Source organism: Homo sapiens, chromosome 1 (assembly GCF_000001405.40).
Source record: "Homo sapiens chromosome 1, GRCh38.p14 Primary Assembly".
Taxonomy (NCBI): Eukaryota; Metazoa; Chordata; class Mammalia; order Primates; family Hominidae; genus Homo; species Homo sapiens.
The window spans coordinates 67,601,376-67,618,990 of record NC_000001.11 but is presented as its reverse complement, the minus strand read 5'-3'; the positions used below and the strand labels follow the sequence as shown (position 1 = coordinate 67,618,990).

The window sequence follows — 17,615 nt, the reverse complement described above, 5'->3', positions numbered from 1 at the left end:
TTTCTTTTTCTTGTTTTCTGGCCAGTCACTTGGTGAAGTGAGTGCATCATACAGCTGGGAAAACACGAGCTTCTCGAGTTTGTTTGGCTTCTGAGCGATGTGGGTGAGCGCAAGTCTGGGCAGTGTGTCAGCTCCTTCCTGAAAGTCTGGGTCAAGGAAGTCCACAACACAACCTTGTTTACTTGATTTTGCTTTCAGCATCGAGAACGCTGGTTCTGATTACTGCAAAGGTGTATGTGGTTGCTGTTGGCTCACAACCCTGTAATTCCTTTGAAAAGATGATCTGATTGGGATAACTGTGACTTTAATACTTCAGTTCCTTTGGAAACATCCAGATGAAAAGTGATGCATTATTTTCCTAGTGGCTTTTGTTCCTGGCTAACTGTAATAGTTTGTCGGATCACTGGGAGTAATTCTGTGGAGCTGAGTTTGCTGGGCTGGCAGATTTGGAGGGGTAGACAAAGAATGACCAGTCTGAAGCAACCCTTCTAGCCCAGACACGTGAATTTACAACAAATGTTTACTGAGTGCTTGCTTTGTGCCAAGCACTGAGTCAGGCGCCGGGCAACCAAGATGAACAAGACAGTTTCTACTAGAGTCTGCTAACTAGACTGAAAACTCATCAAAGATAAATGCCGACTCTTAATTCTGTTTACGTCCCCTAAATCGTCTAGGGCAGTATCTAGCTTAAGGCAGAGTCCCCAATAAATACCAAATGTTTAAACAGGCATATTTCGATTTTGCACAGTAAATATTTTCTAAGTGCCTATTAGGGGTTGACGTTGTGTTAGGTAGTAGAGACACTAGAGACTACTAAAATAGAGCTCATACCCTCAAGCTGCTTACGGTCTGGTGGGGAAGACAGACATTAAAACATTAATCGCCTGTAATCCCAGCACTTCGGGAGGCAGAGGTGGGCGGATCGCTTGAACCCAGGTATTGGCAAAACCCTGTCTCTACAAAAAAATATCAAAAAATCAAAAATTACACAGAGTGGTGCGTACCTATAGTCCCAGCTACTCAAGAGGTCAAGGCAGGAGGATTGCTTGAGCCCACGAGGTCAAGGCTGCAGTGAACCATGTTCACACCACTGCACTCCAGCCTGGGCAACAAAGTGAGACCCTATCTCAAAACAAAAAACAAAAAACAAAACCACAAAATTATTCAACTTGTACAAATCTGAGCCCCCTAGGAGCCCCTGAGCCCCTAAGAAATACCTTGTCACCTAGTTCCTGCTCTGGAGCCCCCAGATCTCCCTACTAAATGGATAATAACTGGCGTAGAAGAGAGACCCCAGGATGCTTCTCCAGCAAGCACTATGTCCATTCTGATTGGCCAATGCATTTGCCTTTTTGGTTGATAATATTTTAGTATCATTCCTGCAGGGGATAATAGCAGCACAAGACACTCATGTATGGGGGACAGAGGAAGAAATAACTTCATCATATGAGAGGGATGCCCAATTCCATTTGGAAGGGGAGTATGCAGCCTCCAGCAAAACCCAACACAGCAGGTGATATTTTGTTTCTAGGAGTCTGCTCAAAACCCCTGCTCCCACAAGCATGAGCAGCAGCACAGACCCCAGCTTCAAGGAATTGTGTGCACCACAGGCAAGGGGGCGCCTGAGAATTTATTTCATATTAATAATTGTGGATTTTAGGCTGGGCCTGGTGGCTCACGTCTGTAATCCCATCCCAGCACTTTGGGAGGCTGGGGCGGGCTGATCATTTGAGGTCAGGAGTTCAAGACCAGCCTGGCCAACATGGTGAAACCCTGTCTCTACTAAAAATACAAAAATCAGCTGGGTGTGGTGGCACGTGCCTGTAATCCAAGCTACTCAGGAGGCTGAGGCAGAAGAATCACTTGAACCCACGAGGCAGAGGTTGCAGTAAGCTGAGATCGCACCACTGTACTCCAGCCTGGGTGACAGAATGAGATCCTGTTCCAAAAAATAAATAAGTAAGTAAGTAAGTAAGTAAGTAAATAAATAAATAAATAAATAAGGATTTTAGATACAGAAAATCATTTTGAAGTGATATTGTAAAATATTTTAAGTTTAAAGGTTAATTTTTAAAATTTCTCCTATTCTAGGCCAATCATACCCACAAGCATAGTATTGTAGTCATCTTCATTCAAATAACCTCATTATCTACTGAGTCATTAGATGCACTTGTAAGCAGTAATGATCCAGAGAACCTTCTGAGAGCTAGTTTAAAAATCTTTAGAGCTAATCCTTCCCTCAGGGGAGAGAGGAATGCTTTTGTTTCCTCTTCATGCCTTGCCAAGCTGAGGTTTAGAGTCTAGAAATATTATTGGAGCCTTCAATATTCTGAAAAATTGCAAGAAAGGGAAGGAGGGAGAGAAAGAAAGGAAGGAAGGAGGGAAAGAAGGAGGGAGAGAGGGAGAGAAAGAGAGAGAAAGGGAGAAAGGAAGGAAAAAAACAATCAACCAGGTCAGGCTCAGTGGCTCCCGCCTGGAATCCTAGCACTTTGGCAGGCTGAGCAGTGAGGATCACTTGAGGCCGGGAGTTTGAGACCAGCCTAAGCAACATGGCAAAACCCTGTCTCTACAAAAAATACACACACAAAAAAATTAGCAGGGTGTGGTGGTACTCACCTGTAGTCCTAGCTACTTGAGGGGCTGAGGTGGTAGGATTGCTTGAGCCCAGGAGGTCAAGGCTGCAGTGAGCGGAGATCACGCCATTGACTGCAGCCTGGGTGACAAAGTGAAACCCTGTCTCAAAACAAACAAACAAACAAACAAACAAACAACAACAACAACAACAACAAAACATACAATTCTTCCCAAACTTCTCCTCAGATTTTCAAAATATTGACTCATGAGACCCTGAAGCTGAAAGGGTCAATTTCCCAGTTGTAAAACCATCAAACAACTTGTCTAAGCTGGTTTCTCAATAGGAACCACAATTATTCCATGGAAATATGTCAACTGTTCCTGGCTCAAATTTTATGAGCAAAACAATGAAACAAATTACACTTGTCAGTGTTTTATAGGTAATTGAAACTGGTTTCTTAAAATTCAGGTGTTGGACTATTGAGAACACGCCAGTTCCTTCATTAACTCTTGTTTTTACCTCCTTTCACTCAAGGCAGGATTTCATAATACTGATATTTAAAAATAAATTAGTGGGTCAGGCATGCTGGCCCATGCCTGTAATCCTAGCACTTTGGGGGGCTAAGGTGGGCTGATCACTTGACCTCAGGAGTTCAAGACCAGCCTGTGCAACATGGCAAAACCCCATCTGTACAAAAAAGACAAAAAAAAAAATAAGCCAGGCATGGTGGTGGGCGCCTGTAGTCCCAGCTACTTGGGGTCTGAGGTGGGAGGATCCCTTGAGGCCAGGAGGCGGAGGCTGCAGTGAGCCGAGATCACACCACTGGACTCCAGCCTGAGTGACAAAGTGAGACCTCATCTCAAAGTAAATAAATAAATAGAAATAAATTGCTGGCATGAGACTAGGTTAGTTTCTAGTTACTTCTCCAGCCTTATCTTCCTTTACCTCTTTTACACAAAAATGATAGTGCTCCATCCCCAAGCAGATTCTGTACCGTTTCCCCTCCAGGCATTAGTCACTCTGTCCCCTCTCCATAGAATGACCCCTCCCTCAATTTTCTCTGAAAATATTTGTTTTCTCCAGGATGTCTCTCCTCATCTCCCTTCCTCCTCTGGATAAGGGGCTCTTCCTTTGTGCTCCTATTTCACACTCAGCACCTCTCTATCACTGGATTGACCACCTTCTATCATAAGCACCATGTTTGTATATATATTGCTGTCTTCCCCTCTCCCAAGACACAGTGACAAAATGAAGCATCATTCATTTTTCACATTTTAATGGCCTCGCATACTACCTGAAAACAGTAGGTACTTGTATCAGTCATCTATTGCTGCATAACAAATTACCCCAAAACTTAGCATTTGAAAATCACAATATTTATTATCTCACAGTTTCTCTGAGTCAGAAATTCAGGTACAGGTGCAGCTTAGTTGGGTGATTAGGGTGCAGATCTCTCACAAAGCTGTAATCAAGGTGTCTGTCAGGCTACAGTCACCTCAAGGGTCAACTGCAGGGGGATCTGTTTCCCAGCTCACTTGGGTGGCTGTTGGCAGTCCTCAGAAAATCGACTTTCCAGCTCAATCACATGGTGCTGGCAGACGTTAGGATCCTTGCTGACTGTTGACTGAAGATATTATTTCCTTGCCGCAGAAGTTTCTCCATAATATTTCTCAAAACACAGCAGCTGGATTTCCCCAGAGTGAAGTCTGAGAAAGAGTGAGGTGGAAGTCCCAGTCCTCTTGTAACCTAATCTCAAAAGTGACATTTTGTCACTTTTGTTGTATTCTATTTGCTAGAAGTGAGTCATTAGGTCCAGCACACATTCAAGGAAAGGAGATTGCACAAGGATGTGAATTCTGGGAGGTGGAGATGACTGGGGGCCATCTTCAGGCTGCTGACCACAGTGCTCAATAAATCTGTAAACAAATGGACAAATCTCTCCAGACAGAAATGAGCCCTTCCTTCCCTGAAGATCCATAGCATTTGAATTATTAGAGAATGCAGCACAATGTGACTTTAGCTGAGCATGTGTTCATATACATTGCTGGATTATAAGCAACTGAGTAAAAACGGTGTCAAAAATATGACTGGCACTCAGTAATTCCTTGAGTAGGTGAATAAGTGAAAGAAAGGGTGGCAGAGACCAGGACATGTCCATTAATATCTGTTCTTTAGTGATAGAATTTTTTTATTTTTAGCTAGGCACATAGGCATGCCACTGGAGACTACATTTCCCGATATCCCTTGCAACTGGAGGTGGCTATGCTACCAGTATTGGGCTAATGGGATGTGAGAACCTTGGGCAAACACTTTTGTTTCCCCCTTTCCTTTAACTGGAATACAGAGGTTTGAGTGAGACCCTGAGCAGGGAAATATACAATGAGAGTGGCAGGACCACCCTATCAGACTAATGACTACCAGACAACCTCTGGGCTAGTCCATGAAGCAGAACTAAACTTTCTTTCTTTCTTTCTTTTTTTTTTTTTTTTGATGGAGTCTCACTCTGTCTCCCAGGTTGGAGTGCAGTGGTGTAATCTCGGCTCACTGCAACCTCTGCCTCCTGGGTTCAAGCGATTCTCCTGCCTCAGTCTCCCAAGTAGCTGGGACTACAGGCGCACGCCACCAAGCCCAGCTATTTTTTTTCAATTTTTAGCAGAGACAGGGTTTCACCATGTTGACCAGGCTGGTCTCGAACTCTTGAACTCAAATGATCTGCCCGCCCTGGCCTCCCAAAGTTCTGGGATTATAGGCATGAGCCACCATGCCTGGCCAGAACTAAACTTTTATCCTATAAAAGCTACTGTTCGCTAGAGTCCCGTTGTTATGCCAGCACAGAGTATTCCTGTCAAATACAGAATTTTAAAAGCAAATAAGAAAGCTCCCACCATCCCTTCCTCTCCTTCATAACTAGCCCATGCTTTAAACACACCCAAAATACTTGTTAGATGTAATTGTGTCTATAGGACCATTGGGTTGTGTCGGTGGATGAGAAGGAGTATTTAAGTCATCTTTCCCCTTTGTTAGGCAAGTGGAGGCTTCTTTCAGTCAGCACTTGCAAGATTCAGCGACTCTGGGGCTCCTCAGAGAAGTGGCCTACAGCAGCATGAAGTGGCCTTAACTTTCAAAGGTTGTGGCAGAAAGCCACCAAGGAGAGGCACACATCAGAGTGGATTGTTCTCAAGGAAAATCTGTCCAGGCTGAGGTTTCCTTGCAGGATTTGATTTGTTTTCCAAAAAAGGAGAAGAGTTCTCAGCACAAGCCCTGCAAAGCGCCAGGCCAGCAGCTCCTCCAGACCCCTACAGCTGTCAAGGGCCAGTGTTCCACTGTGCAGAGGCGGCCACTGTCATTCTGGCTCCCCACTCGTCTGCTCTCAGGGCACTGGTCACGCTGCAATCCTGGAGGAGCAGGGTTTCTGCCTTAATCTGAAACTGGAGAGGATCCAGGACCTAAAACTGGATGGTTTTGTGCTGTTTGTATTTTTTTACAGTCTATGGATGGAAGGCTCCACCAACACCATCTTCAAATGCCAAAATAAAATGCTCATCCAGCCAAATCATCTCTGCTGAGGCTAGCACAAGGAGATGACAAAACCTTGTTAAAATACAGGAAGGAGATAGGAAGGAAGTGGAATAAGGGTTTCTTGTCTGGACTGAAAAAAATCTGTTAATAGGGTAGATATATGCCAAGTATAGAGTCATTTGAAGATATTTTTTTCATGGGCAGGCAAATTTGAGAAACCAGAAGAGAAAGAAGGGGTAAAGAACTCCAGGTTAAAGTCTACAGACTTTAAAGACTACAGACATAAAAATGATGAGTTCATGTCCTTTGTAGGGACATGGATGAAATTGGAAATCATCATTCTCAGTAAACTATCGCAAGAACAAAAAACCAAACACCGCATATTCTCACTCATAGGTGGGAATTGAACAATGAGATCACATGGACACAGGAAGGGGAATATCACACTCTGGGGACTGTGGTGGGGTGGGGGGAGGGGGGAGGGATAGCATTGGGAGATATACCTAATGCTAGATGACGAGTTAGTGGGTGCAGCGCACCAGCATGGCACATGTATACATATGTAACTAACCTGCACAATGCGTACATGTACCCTAAAACTTAAAGTATAATAAAAAAAAAAAAAGACTACAGAATACAGTCTACAGGGGAAGTTTTAAAGCACCTGCTGTTATGGGACCTTCTAGAAGTATCCAAGGCACTTAAGAAGTCAGCTATGTCCATTCCCAGCAACGATTCTGAGTGTGCAAAGACTTTGGTGTTTTAATGCTATTGATGGTAGAGGAGGGAGCCAGTAAATCTGACTTGAAGGATGATTCAGATTTAATAGATGGCCATTGGCAGACGGTAGAGAGCATTTCAGGCAGGGAGCAGCATAAGCTACATTCCTGGGGTCCGAGAGTACAAGGGGTGTTTCTGGAACTCCCAATGACCCAGAAAGGAAGAATCACAGGGTACTTGGGTGAGGTCTTTGATGAAAGGGTGGAGATGATTTCAATTAAAAATAGTGCAAAGGACATGGGAAGAACTAAAGAAGGGTTAATGGAGCAGAGAGAAAAGAGACATTCTATTCTGTAGAATCCAGCTGCACAGCAGCATAGTGGTTAGCCGTGCGGCTCACGACTCCGTGGCTTAAGCCACAGCCTCTGGAGTCACCCACTGTATTAGTATCCTCGGCTGCTGTAACAAAGTACCACAGATTGGTGGCTTAAATTTATTTAAGCCATTCAGAAATTTATTGTCATGGTAACCATCCCTTCCTCAACTTCATAACTAGCCCGTGCTTTAAACACATCCAAAATATTTGTTAGCTGTAATTGTGCCTACAGGACCATTGGCTTGTGTCAGTGGTTGAGAAGGAGTATTTAAGTCATCTTTTCCCTTTGTGGGATTGTCACCCACTATATTAGTATCCTAGGCTGCCGTAACAAAGTTCCACAGATTGGTGGCTTAAATTTATTTAAGCTCTCCAGAAGTTTATTGTCTCACAGTTCTGGAGGCCAGAAATCTGAGATCAGAGTGTCGACAGGGTCCGTTCCTTCCGAGGCTATGAGGGAGAATCTGTCCCGTGCCTCTCTCCGAGCTTCTCGTGGTTTGCTGGCAATCTTTGGCTTGTAGATGCATCACCCTGATCTCTGCCTTCGTCTTCATATGGCATTCTCCCTGAGTGCATGTCTGTCTCTATCTTCAAATTCCCCCCTTTTATAAGAATGCAGTCATATTGCATTAGGCCCACCCTAACAAACATATCTTATGATATGCAAAGACCGCTTTTCCATGTTAGGTCGTACTCACGGGTACCAGGTTTAGGACTTTCATATCTTTTTGGGGGACACAATTCAACCCAAACAGCCACGTGGTATTGCACAAAGTGCTTAGTCTTTTAGCCCCAAGGACCTGTCTAAAACAGGATGAAGGTTATCCCTGGTGCAAGGACTGGCATAAAGTCAGTGCCTAACACACATCAGTGGTACTACTGTGCGTACAGACGACCGTCTATAGAAGCCAAGCCCTGGCATAACTTCTAATTCAGGAACGTAGACAGAGGGACCGCTGACAGGTCCCCAGTTTACTGCTTTTCCCCACCCCCAACCCCAGTGCCTAAAGTCTTAGGGGCTTGGTAAATATTTTCTGTAGTTTATGACTCTGTAACTTGACCTAATTTTTACTTGAAGCCACTATACTCCCAGGGTAACAGAAACTGAAATGTCATCAATTTGAGGTTTCTGTCACCTCTTTCCTGGGATTGTGGCTAAATCTCAGTGAGTCATGTCATGCCAGGACTCGGGGCAGAGGCACGGGAGCTGGTTCTTAGTTCACTGGTCCACCTAGGCTTCTGATGAGACTCCCAGTATCCCGCTGGTCCTAAGGCAGCAGTGCCCACAGGCATTGTTCCTGTCCCAACAGCCCCTGAGGTCTGGCAGGGCCGTCTATCATCTCTATGCCTCACAAGGGCAGAGGATCCTTCTGCTCCCTCCATGCCAGGCTGGAGCAAGGGACTCCTCTGGGTCTGCAGCCACTCCCTCATGGGGTCTTCCTGCTTTCCCCCAGGGTTCTTCCCAGGAAAGAGGTAGAGCACTCCTGCCCCGGGGTTCCCAAAGCTTTCTGGGGGACCTGCAGTGCCTGGGGACTCCCCGTGTTAGACTGGCCCAAGCTACCCTCATTAACTTCGCCCTCTACCTCCTCAAACCCAGCTAGATGGGGGTAATCTTTTGTCTCTCTTTACGGTTTTTCCCCAGACATTTTGGAGATACCCTAATCCTCTTTGTTCCATTGAGCAAAGTTTTAGAAAGCAAAACAGAAAGACGGAGGGGGCGGGCACTATTTGTGCCTTCTTTCCTGACACCCCCTCCACTGAAGTGTGGACTCAGACCAGCATATTGCATTACGAGGAAAACACCAGGGGAAATAAGTTAACATTTAAAAAATATTACCTCAGCTTGTTTTGGTGCATAAATAAATAAATAAATGATAGTGGCCCAAGGCACTTGGGGACGGATCCTGAGCCAGCTTCATGAAAATCCTCGCTTCTGAGGTCCCACCTTCCAGTGGGAGGGCCCAGAGCCCCCACACCTTTTCCACCCAGAAGTCAGAGCTCAGGCTGTGGTTTCTATGGTGTCCAAGTGGCCACCTGCCCCAAGTGGAATCACTAATTTCTTCTGCTGGGCTCCCAAGCGTGGCTGCAGTGCTAATGAGCATCTACCCATGCTGCCTGGTATTATTACAGTTAATATTCTACAGAATATTCTACCAGCTCTTCCCCCAACCTATGCAGCTAAGGGAAAGCCCTGTCACTTACTACCTGGGTGATTTTTCTTTCCTCTCATTTTCCTCATAGGTAAAATGAGGATAAGGACCCCCACCTGCTGGGTTGCTGCAAGGGTTAGGTAACACAGCCTCAATAAAGCCCCAAGCCATGGCCCAACAGGTGGTGGGTGTTGTGAATAGAATAGCTGGGGCTGGGGCCTGCTTGGGTAGACTCTCCTTGGCCTCACTTGCACAGGCCAGGGGGTGGGCCATCATGCTAACGAGGCTGCTGCAGCAGAAGGGCCTCAGCCTGTGGACTTCACCCAACAGAAGGGCGATCACTAAAACCCACTCATGCCTTAAACCAGCCCAGGTTAAGGTCACAGTGACCCATTCAATAACTAAGCTCTCATGGAACGTCAGCTATGAGCCAGGTGTTTTCATGCATCTGACATAGGGCTACATGGGGTGCTGGGGGAGGCAGATACGGACAGAGGAACAGGATAATAATGTAAAGAGCTAAAAACAACTGGGCTCAATGTGTTATGGGATCGCAGAAGAACACTGCTTGTTTACTTGTGGTCATTCATTTAATCATACCACCTTCATATCCACCTGTTTTTCCAGAAAGGAAGTAAGGAGGCCTGGGAGAAATAAGGAATTCTACCCTATCAGTCATCTGGGAGTCTGGCCCTAAAGGCTGTCACTAAGCATATCAGGAGGACAGAGATTGTCCAGGCTCAGGGGACAGCAGGGACAAGAGCATGGATGTGTGGACACACCAGCCTGAGATGCTGCTTTTCCCAGGCAGGAAGCGAGTGCTGGTCGCCAGATGTCCCCGGGTCTTACTCCCTCACCGCACCTCTTTCAGTTTCCTGTTCAGATGTCCCTTTCTCAGCAAGGCCTTCCGCAATCACCAGTGGTACGCCAGGGCTGGCTAGTCCCAGTTCACAAGAGCTGATGGTTAAATTTCCAGGAAATTTGCCAGCTGGTTAGTAAACACAGACATTAGCGAAAACTAAATTATGTGAATTTATAACTAAATAAATTGTATTAGCAGCCCAGATTTTTCAAATACTCGAAACTCATCACCGTCTAATTATTTTACATTTTACTATTACCTATACTTGAGGTTATTTAAATCTATTGCATCCATATGGTAGGTATACTACACAATACTGTGCTAATGTGCACTCCCAATTTCCCGTTTAATGATGTTGAATTCATAGTTTTAAATAAGCCAGGCATTGTGATGTGTACTTAGAGTCCCAGCCGAGGTAGAGGCTGATGTGGGAGGATCACTTGAACATAGGAGTTCAAGGCTGCTGTGAGCTATGATTGCACCACTGCACCCCAGCCTATGCAACAGAGCAAGACCCTGTCTCTAAATAAATAAATAAAATTTATAGCTTTGATCTTCCATGGCAAGGATATTTCCACCATTGAAACTGGCCATTTCTACAAATCAGGGCTTCTTCCCCCAGAGAGCCAGTTGTTAAGCATTTACCAGCACACCACTGCTAGCCATCTTATTCAGAATTGTAATCACCCTGCCACCTCCAGTCTCAGCTACTCTCATTTATTTTTTTCATAAACATATTGCTTTCTAACAGGTTACACGATTTATTTCGCATTCTTATTTCCTGTCTCACCACATCAGAAAGCAAGTTACACGAAGGCAGCGATGTTTTTCTACTGTGTCCTTCATGGGTTCCCAGTGCCCAGAAGAGTACCTGGCACCTAGCTGTGCTCAGCAAATCTTTATTGAATGAATGTTGTCGAACGCTGGGACTCTCTGTGGGTATGACTGGTGGGGGTAGGGGTTAGGGCTCCTCCCATCACCTTGCCCTTGCCCACTGGGGCCTTTCCTGACTCCAGGCTGATGCCTGCCTCCCTCCCTGCCATCTCCTGGATGCCTACATACTCAGGGAAGTCTCATGTAAATGTGTTCCTCAGGACCCCAAGTCTGTAGGATTTCTCTTTACTGTGCCAGCTCTAGCCTGAGACCAAAAAGTACTCACTTAATGTTACTGAGAATATAGCCTTGTTGGCCTTTAAGACAGTGGTTCCCAACTGGCACCCAACCAGCACCCAGGAACTCGTTAGAAATGCAAGTTCTCAGGCCCCACCCCAGACACACTGAGCCAGAAATTCTGGGGATGAGGCCCAGCAATTTGTGTTTCTCAGACTCCAATGCAGGAGACTCCAATGTACGCTGATTTGAGAACCACTGACTTAAGCCTTAGAGTCATTCTGAGCCGGTGGTTCTCAATGTGGACAATTTTGTCCCCAAGGGAACATTTGGCAGTGTCGAGATATTTTTGGTTGTCATAGCTGGGGGGCAGGTGCCACTGGCATCTAGTAGGTAGAGGCGTGGATGCTGCTAACCCCCCTACAATGCGCAGGGCAACTCCTACAACAGAATTATCTGGCCCAAATGTCAATAGTGCATAGGCTGAGACCCTGCCTTAAAGTATTCTCACTTTCCTACATCCATCCAGCTCTGCTTTCTTGTCTTTTCTGTAATAACCCACCTGCCCACCTCTGACGGTCAACTGTGAGGAAGACAAATGAGACTGGTGACCTGCCTCATGGATATTTTCATGAGGAACAGGGACAATTAAGCTGACCTTCACAATCCAGTGTGTTAAGTGTTATGATTGGGAAAATAGCAAGCTGATGCCCCCAACCCAAGCTTGAAACTTCAGGGAGGGCTTCCTAGGAAAAGGGGCCTCTGTGCTCAGCCTTCGAGGCAGAGTTAGATTTAATCAGGGCTGGAGTGGGTGGGAGATAGCTTTCCTTATGCAGCACTTACTGTGTTTCAGTCACTGTACTCAGTGTTTCAGCAATACTGTCTCAACACCTTCCAAGATAGACCCTATTGTTAGCACCATTTTATGGATGGAGACACTATAGCCCGAAGATATTAAATAGCTTGCCTAAAGCCAGACATCTAGGAAACGTTGAAGCAGAAACTTGAATCTGGTCTGTAGACTCCAAAGCCTAAAAGGAGGTGGCTGCAGTTTACAGAGGGCAAAGAGAGTGGACTGGGATTTTTTTTAAATACAGTTAACCCTTGTGTTATGGGTTAAATTGGGTCCACTCCCTTACCCTAAATTCATATGTTGACATCCCAATCTCCAGGACCATAGAATGTAACCATATTTGGAGAAAGATCGTCAAAGAGATGGTTTAGTTAAATAAGGCCTTCAGGGTGGGATCTAACCCAGTATGACCGGTGTTCTTATAAGAGGAAGAGGCTGAGCATGGTGGCTCATACCTGAAATCCCAGCACTTTGGGAGGTTGAGGTGGGAAGATCACTTGAGGCCAGGAGTTTAAGACCAGCCTGGGCAACATAGTGAGACCCTGTATCAACAACAACAACAAAAAGTAGCCAGGTGTGGCAGCACATGCCTGTAGTCCTAGCTGCTCAGGGGGATCTCCAGTTTGTGCAACACAGGGAGACACTGTGTCAAAAACAACATTAAGAAAGAGACACCAGGGATGCGCATGCACAGAAAAAGGCCATGCGAGGACTCAGGAAGAAGGCAGCCATCTGCAAGGAGGCCTCAGGAGAAACCAATTTTCCCAACACCTTGATCTTGGACCCCCAGCCTCCAGAACTGCAAGAAAATGAATTTCTGTTGTTTAAGCCACCCAGTCTGTAGCACTTTGTGATGACAAATGTAGCAAATTAATATAACTTGCTTCCTCTTTGGGGACACTGCTTTGATGGTAGGAAAATTCAGGGGATGTTTTGTTCTGTTTTCTCTGCCGTAGAATAAAAAAGACAGATCTGGGGTTTTGCCCTCCTCTCTCTACATACATCTCAAGAGGATTGCTGGGCCCCTCCAGTTTCCTCTGCCTCAGGGGCATGTGCTGAACCAAAGCTGCTGAGAGACAATTTCTCTTCCTGGCTTTTGTAAGAGCCAAAATTCATTAAGAAGACAGTGCAGTGTGTCCTGGAGTGGGGGAGAGAGACTTAAGTGGCAGAGGCAGATTCTCTGAGGCACAGAGGTGATAGTGATCTGAGGGGCCACCAGGGCACTGAAGCGTCCTTTCCTGGCAGTGCCACATAGAGTGGCCATTGCACACCTAGCATGGCTGACTACACTCACCTTCTCATGCAATAGAGCACTGGGACCTCAAAGCATACATGATGCACATTTTAGCTACTGCCAGCGGGGATCCACGCCTGCAGCGACCACTAAGAAGTTTTTCTCTGCTTATGGGCCCTAGAACTGATACTGCTTCTAGAGATGCAGTTAGCATCAATGACAGCTGAGACCGAATCTCCCATCAGCCCAGAGAGATAGAGGGCTTATGTTGGATTGAGCTGATCTTAAAGCTAAAAAGAAAGCAATGCGATATTTTTGCACGCCCAAATGTGTGCATTAAGAGTCAAATTGACCAGGCTTGATTTTTAGAATTGGGCTACCAAAACACAGGGCAGAAGCCAATTCAAAACAAAGCTGAAAACATGTTTTTCAGCAAGAGAAACAATGAGCCAGGAGAGAAGGAGGAATAAACTATCCAGTGTTTTTCTTTTGGCTCTGCTGCTGTCTCCTGGCTCTGTGTTGTCTCTGTCTAGGACTAATTAAGCTTGTCATCCGTATCAGAGGGATGGGGCGAAGATTAACAAGTTAAGTGGAGAAAGGATCTTGAAGCTCCTTAGATGAAAGGGGATCTAATTAGCAAGGCCAGCAATGACCGCAGGCAGGCAGGCAGGCGGGCAGACAGACAGACAGGCAGGCAAGGGCAGACTCTGCCCCTTGCACTTACCAAAGAGCTAGTTAGAGCTCCCGGAATGGGCTTCTGCAAATTCCACTCAAGCCTTCAGCACCAAGAGAGGAATCTTCCACATTTTCTTCCAGCCCTAGAATTCTGAGATTCTTTATGAGTGGAGGAAAAAAAAAAATGTGTGCACCTCTCTAAACTGATTGAGAGGAGAAAAAGGTACAATGCTCATTCCTTTTTCCTCAGCACAGGCTGATCTGCATGAATAGGGGTTAATGATACACAAGGAAGCAAGCAGAGTTGAGAAGTCCAGCAAGTTCGGTGATGGCATGAAAGAGACATAGGTTCTAATGCTGACTCTGCCACTTGCTGGTTATGCGAACTGAGGCCAAACACTTAATAATATCCTCGAAACTCAAGTTCTTTATTAGCGCTTGTGGGGATAATACTTCCTACCTCATGGAGTTGTACGGCTTAGATTTGTTTGTGCTGAACACACGGTACCCAAATAAGTGGATGCTTTTATAATGTCAGTCAATAATGGTACTGCTTGGTATATAATAGGTGTGAGAAATATTGGTTGGCTGAGACCCTTCATTCAGCAATTATTTATTGTATTATTTATTATGCCCATATTATTATATATACCCTGTGTGTAAAATGTTGAGCCACGCAGACACAATTCTGCCCTCACAGAGCTGATGTGTATTCAGACGATAATCTCCATAAACCCTCAAATCCTCCCCTCAATGCCTTGTTTGTACTCTTAAAAGGCATCACTTGAGCACTTTTTTAGTATTTTAATTTTTTATTTATTTTTATTTCGATAGTTTTAGGGGTGCAAGTGGTTTTTGGTTACATGGAGGAATTGTAAAGTGGTGAAGTCTTGGTTTCAGTATACCTGTCACCTAAAGAGTGTATATTGTACCAAATAGGTGATTTTTTTTAAATCTCTCACCCCCCCACCACCCTCCCCATTTCTGAGTCTCCAATGTCCATCATAACGCTCTGTATGCCTTTGCATACCCATGCCTTAGCTCCTACTTATAAATGAGAACATGCGGTACTTGGTTTTCCCTTCCTGAGTTATTTTGGTTAGGATAATGGCCTTCGGTTCCATCCAAGCCGCTGCAAAAGACATTATTTCATTCTTTTTATGGCTGAGTAGTATCCCATGGTAGATATACCAGATTTTCTTTATCCATTGGTTTATAGGCACTTAGATTGATCCTATATCTTTGCAATTGTGAATTGTGCTGTAATAAACATACCAGTGCAGGTGTCATTTTTATACAATGACTTCTTTTCGTTTGGGTAGATACCCAGTAATGGGATTGCTGAAACAAATGGTAGATCTACTTTTAGTTCTTTGAAAAATCTCTATACTTTTTTCCATAGAGATTGTATACATTTACATTCCCACCAACAGTGTATAAGCATTCTCTTTACACCACATCCTCACCATCTATTTTTTTTTTAATTTTTGATAATGGCCATTCTAAATGGGGTAAAGTGGTATCTCATGGTGATTTTAATTTGCATTTCCCTGATAATTAGTGATGTTGGCCATTTGTATATCTTCTTTTGAAAAATATCTGTTCATGTTGTTTGCCCACTTTTTAACGGGATTCTTCATTTTTTTTCTTGCTGATTTGAGTTCCTTAGAGATTCTGAATATTAGTCCTTTTTCAGATGTATAGTTTGTAAATATTTTCTCCCATTCTGTAGGTTGTCTATTCACTCTGTTGATTATTTCTTTTGCTGTGCTGAAGCTTTTTATTTTAATTAAGTCCCATTTATTTATTTTTTGTTTTATTGCATTTGCTTTTGGGGTCTTAGTCATAAATTCTTTGCCTAGGCCAATGTCCAGAAGGGTTTTTCCCAGGTTTTCTCCTTCTAGAATTTTTATGGTTTCAGGTCTTTCATTTAAGTCTTTAATCCACTTTGAGTTAATTTTTGTATATGGCAAGAGATAGGGATCTAGTTTCTTTCTTCTGTGTGTGGCTATCCAATTTTCCCAGCACCCCTTGTTGGATAGAGTCTCCTTTTTCCAGGGTATGCTTTTGTCTGCTTTGTTGAAGATCAGTTGGCTGTAGGTATTTGGCTTTATTTCTGGGTTCTCTATTCTGTTCTCTATGTGTCTTCTTTTATACCAGTACCATGCTGTTTTGATTACTATAGCCTTGTAGTAGAATTTGAAATCTGGTAGTGTGATGCCTCCAGATTTGTTTTTTGTTTGTTTGTTTGTTTGTTTTGCTTAGGGTTGCTTTGGTTATTTTGGCTCTTTTTGGTTCCATATGAATTTTAGGATTATGATTTCTAATTCTGTGAAAAATTATGTTGGTATTTTGTTAGGAATTGTATTGAATCTGAAGATCACTTTGGGCAGTATGGTCATTTTCATGATATTTATTCTTCCAATCCATTAGCATGGGATTTTCTCAATTCGTTTGTGTCATCTATGATTTCTTTCATTAGCGGTTTGTAATTCTCCTTGTAGAGATCTTTCACTTCCTTGGTTAAGTATATTCCTAAAGTTGTTTTTTTGTTTGTTTTTTGCAGCTATTGTAAATGGGATTGAGTTCTTGATTTGATTCTCACCTTGGTCGTTATTGGTGTATAGCAGTGCTACCAATTTATGTACATTGATTTTGTAACCTGAGACCCTACTTAATGCATTTATCAAATCAAGGAGTCTTTTTCAAGAGTCTTCAGGGTTTTCGAGGTATAAGACCATATCATTGGCAGAGACAATTTGACTTCCTCTTTTCCAGTTTGGATGCACTTTCTTTCTTACTGTTGCCTGATTGCTCTGGCTAGGACTTCCCACTCAAGTATTTTTTTTTAATGAAAATAATTTTAAAAACTGCTTACAGTTGTGTTTGTCTAAAAGAAAGTGTCAATTAATTCTACTTTAATAATTAAAGGTGATTATTAGTTTAGAACACTCCAAATTAGCCAACAAGGAGTTTAGAATTTTAAAATGCAAATAGCAGAGCAAATCTTTTCACCTTTTCCCTTCAGTTCCATGCTGTAGGACCCAGAGTTGCTGTTCTACCTGTTATGTAAATGGAAGGCTGGCAGGAATGAAAACAGGGGCAGAACCTGTCCTGTTCCCGGAGACTGTGAGAAAGACCAGTCCTTCTCAGCACTTCTCACCACTGCCGCTGAGCACAGATTGTTGTAAATATTCAGTGAAGTTCTGTCTCCCACACTGCGCTGGGAGCTGCAGGAGGACAGGGATGCTGACTCTATGCTGGGTTCCTGGTTGAATCTCCCAGGCCTAGTGTCACCTTCTATGCTGGGGCTCATGACAGGCAGCATTTTCTAAAGCTCTGCAGGTGACTGTGATAAGGGTTCTCTTATGTTTCATCTCTCCTCACAGCTGCCCTACGAGGTGGGTGCTCTTATCAAGCACTTTTTGCAGATGAGGAATGTGAGGCATAGCAAGGTTTGTGACTTGACTTGACTTGACTTGATTCTATAGTCAGTGTGAGTCCCAGAGCCATGCTTGCTCGGAGCACATGGTCAGGCTCC

At 44.2% G+C, this 17,615-nt stretch overlaps 1 annotated feature.

The window, feature by feature from the left end:
* Positions 850–1,064: a silencer, noted in NCBI's record as "fragment chr1:68083610-68083824 (GRCh37/hg19 assembly coordinates)". NCBI's record gives its function as "represses an EF-1alpha promoter that drives an FKBP-Casp9 reporter gene in an ReSE screen in phorbol 12-myristate 13-acetate-treated (for megakaryocytic differentiation) K562 erythroleukemia cells {active_cell/tissue: K562(+PMA)}" and the evidence as "EXISTENCE:reporter gene assay evidence [ECO:0000049][PMID:32094911]".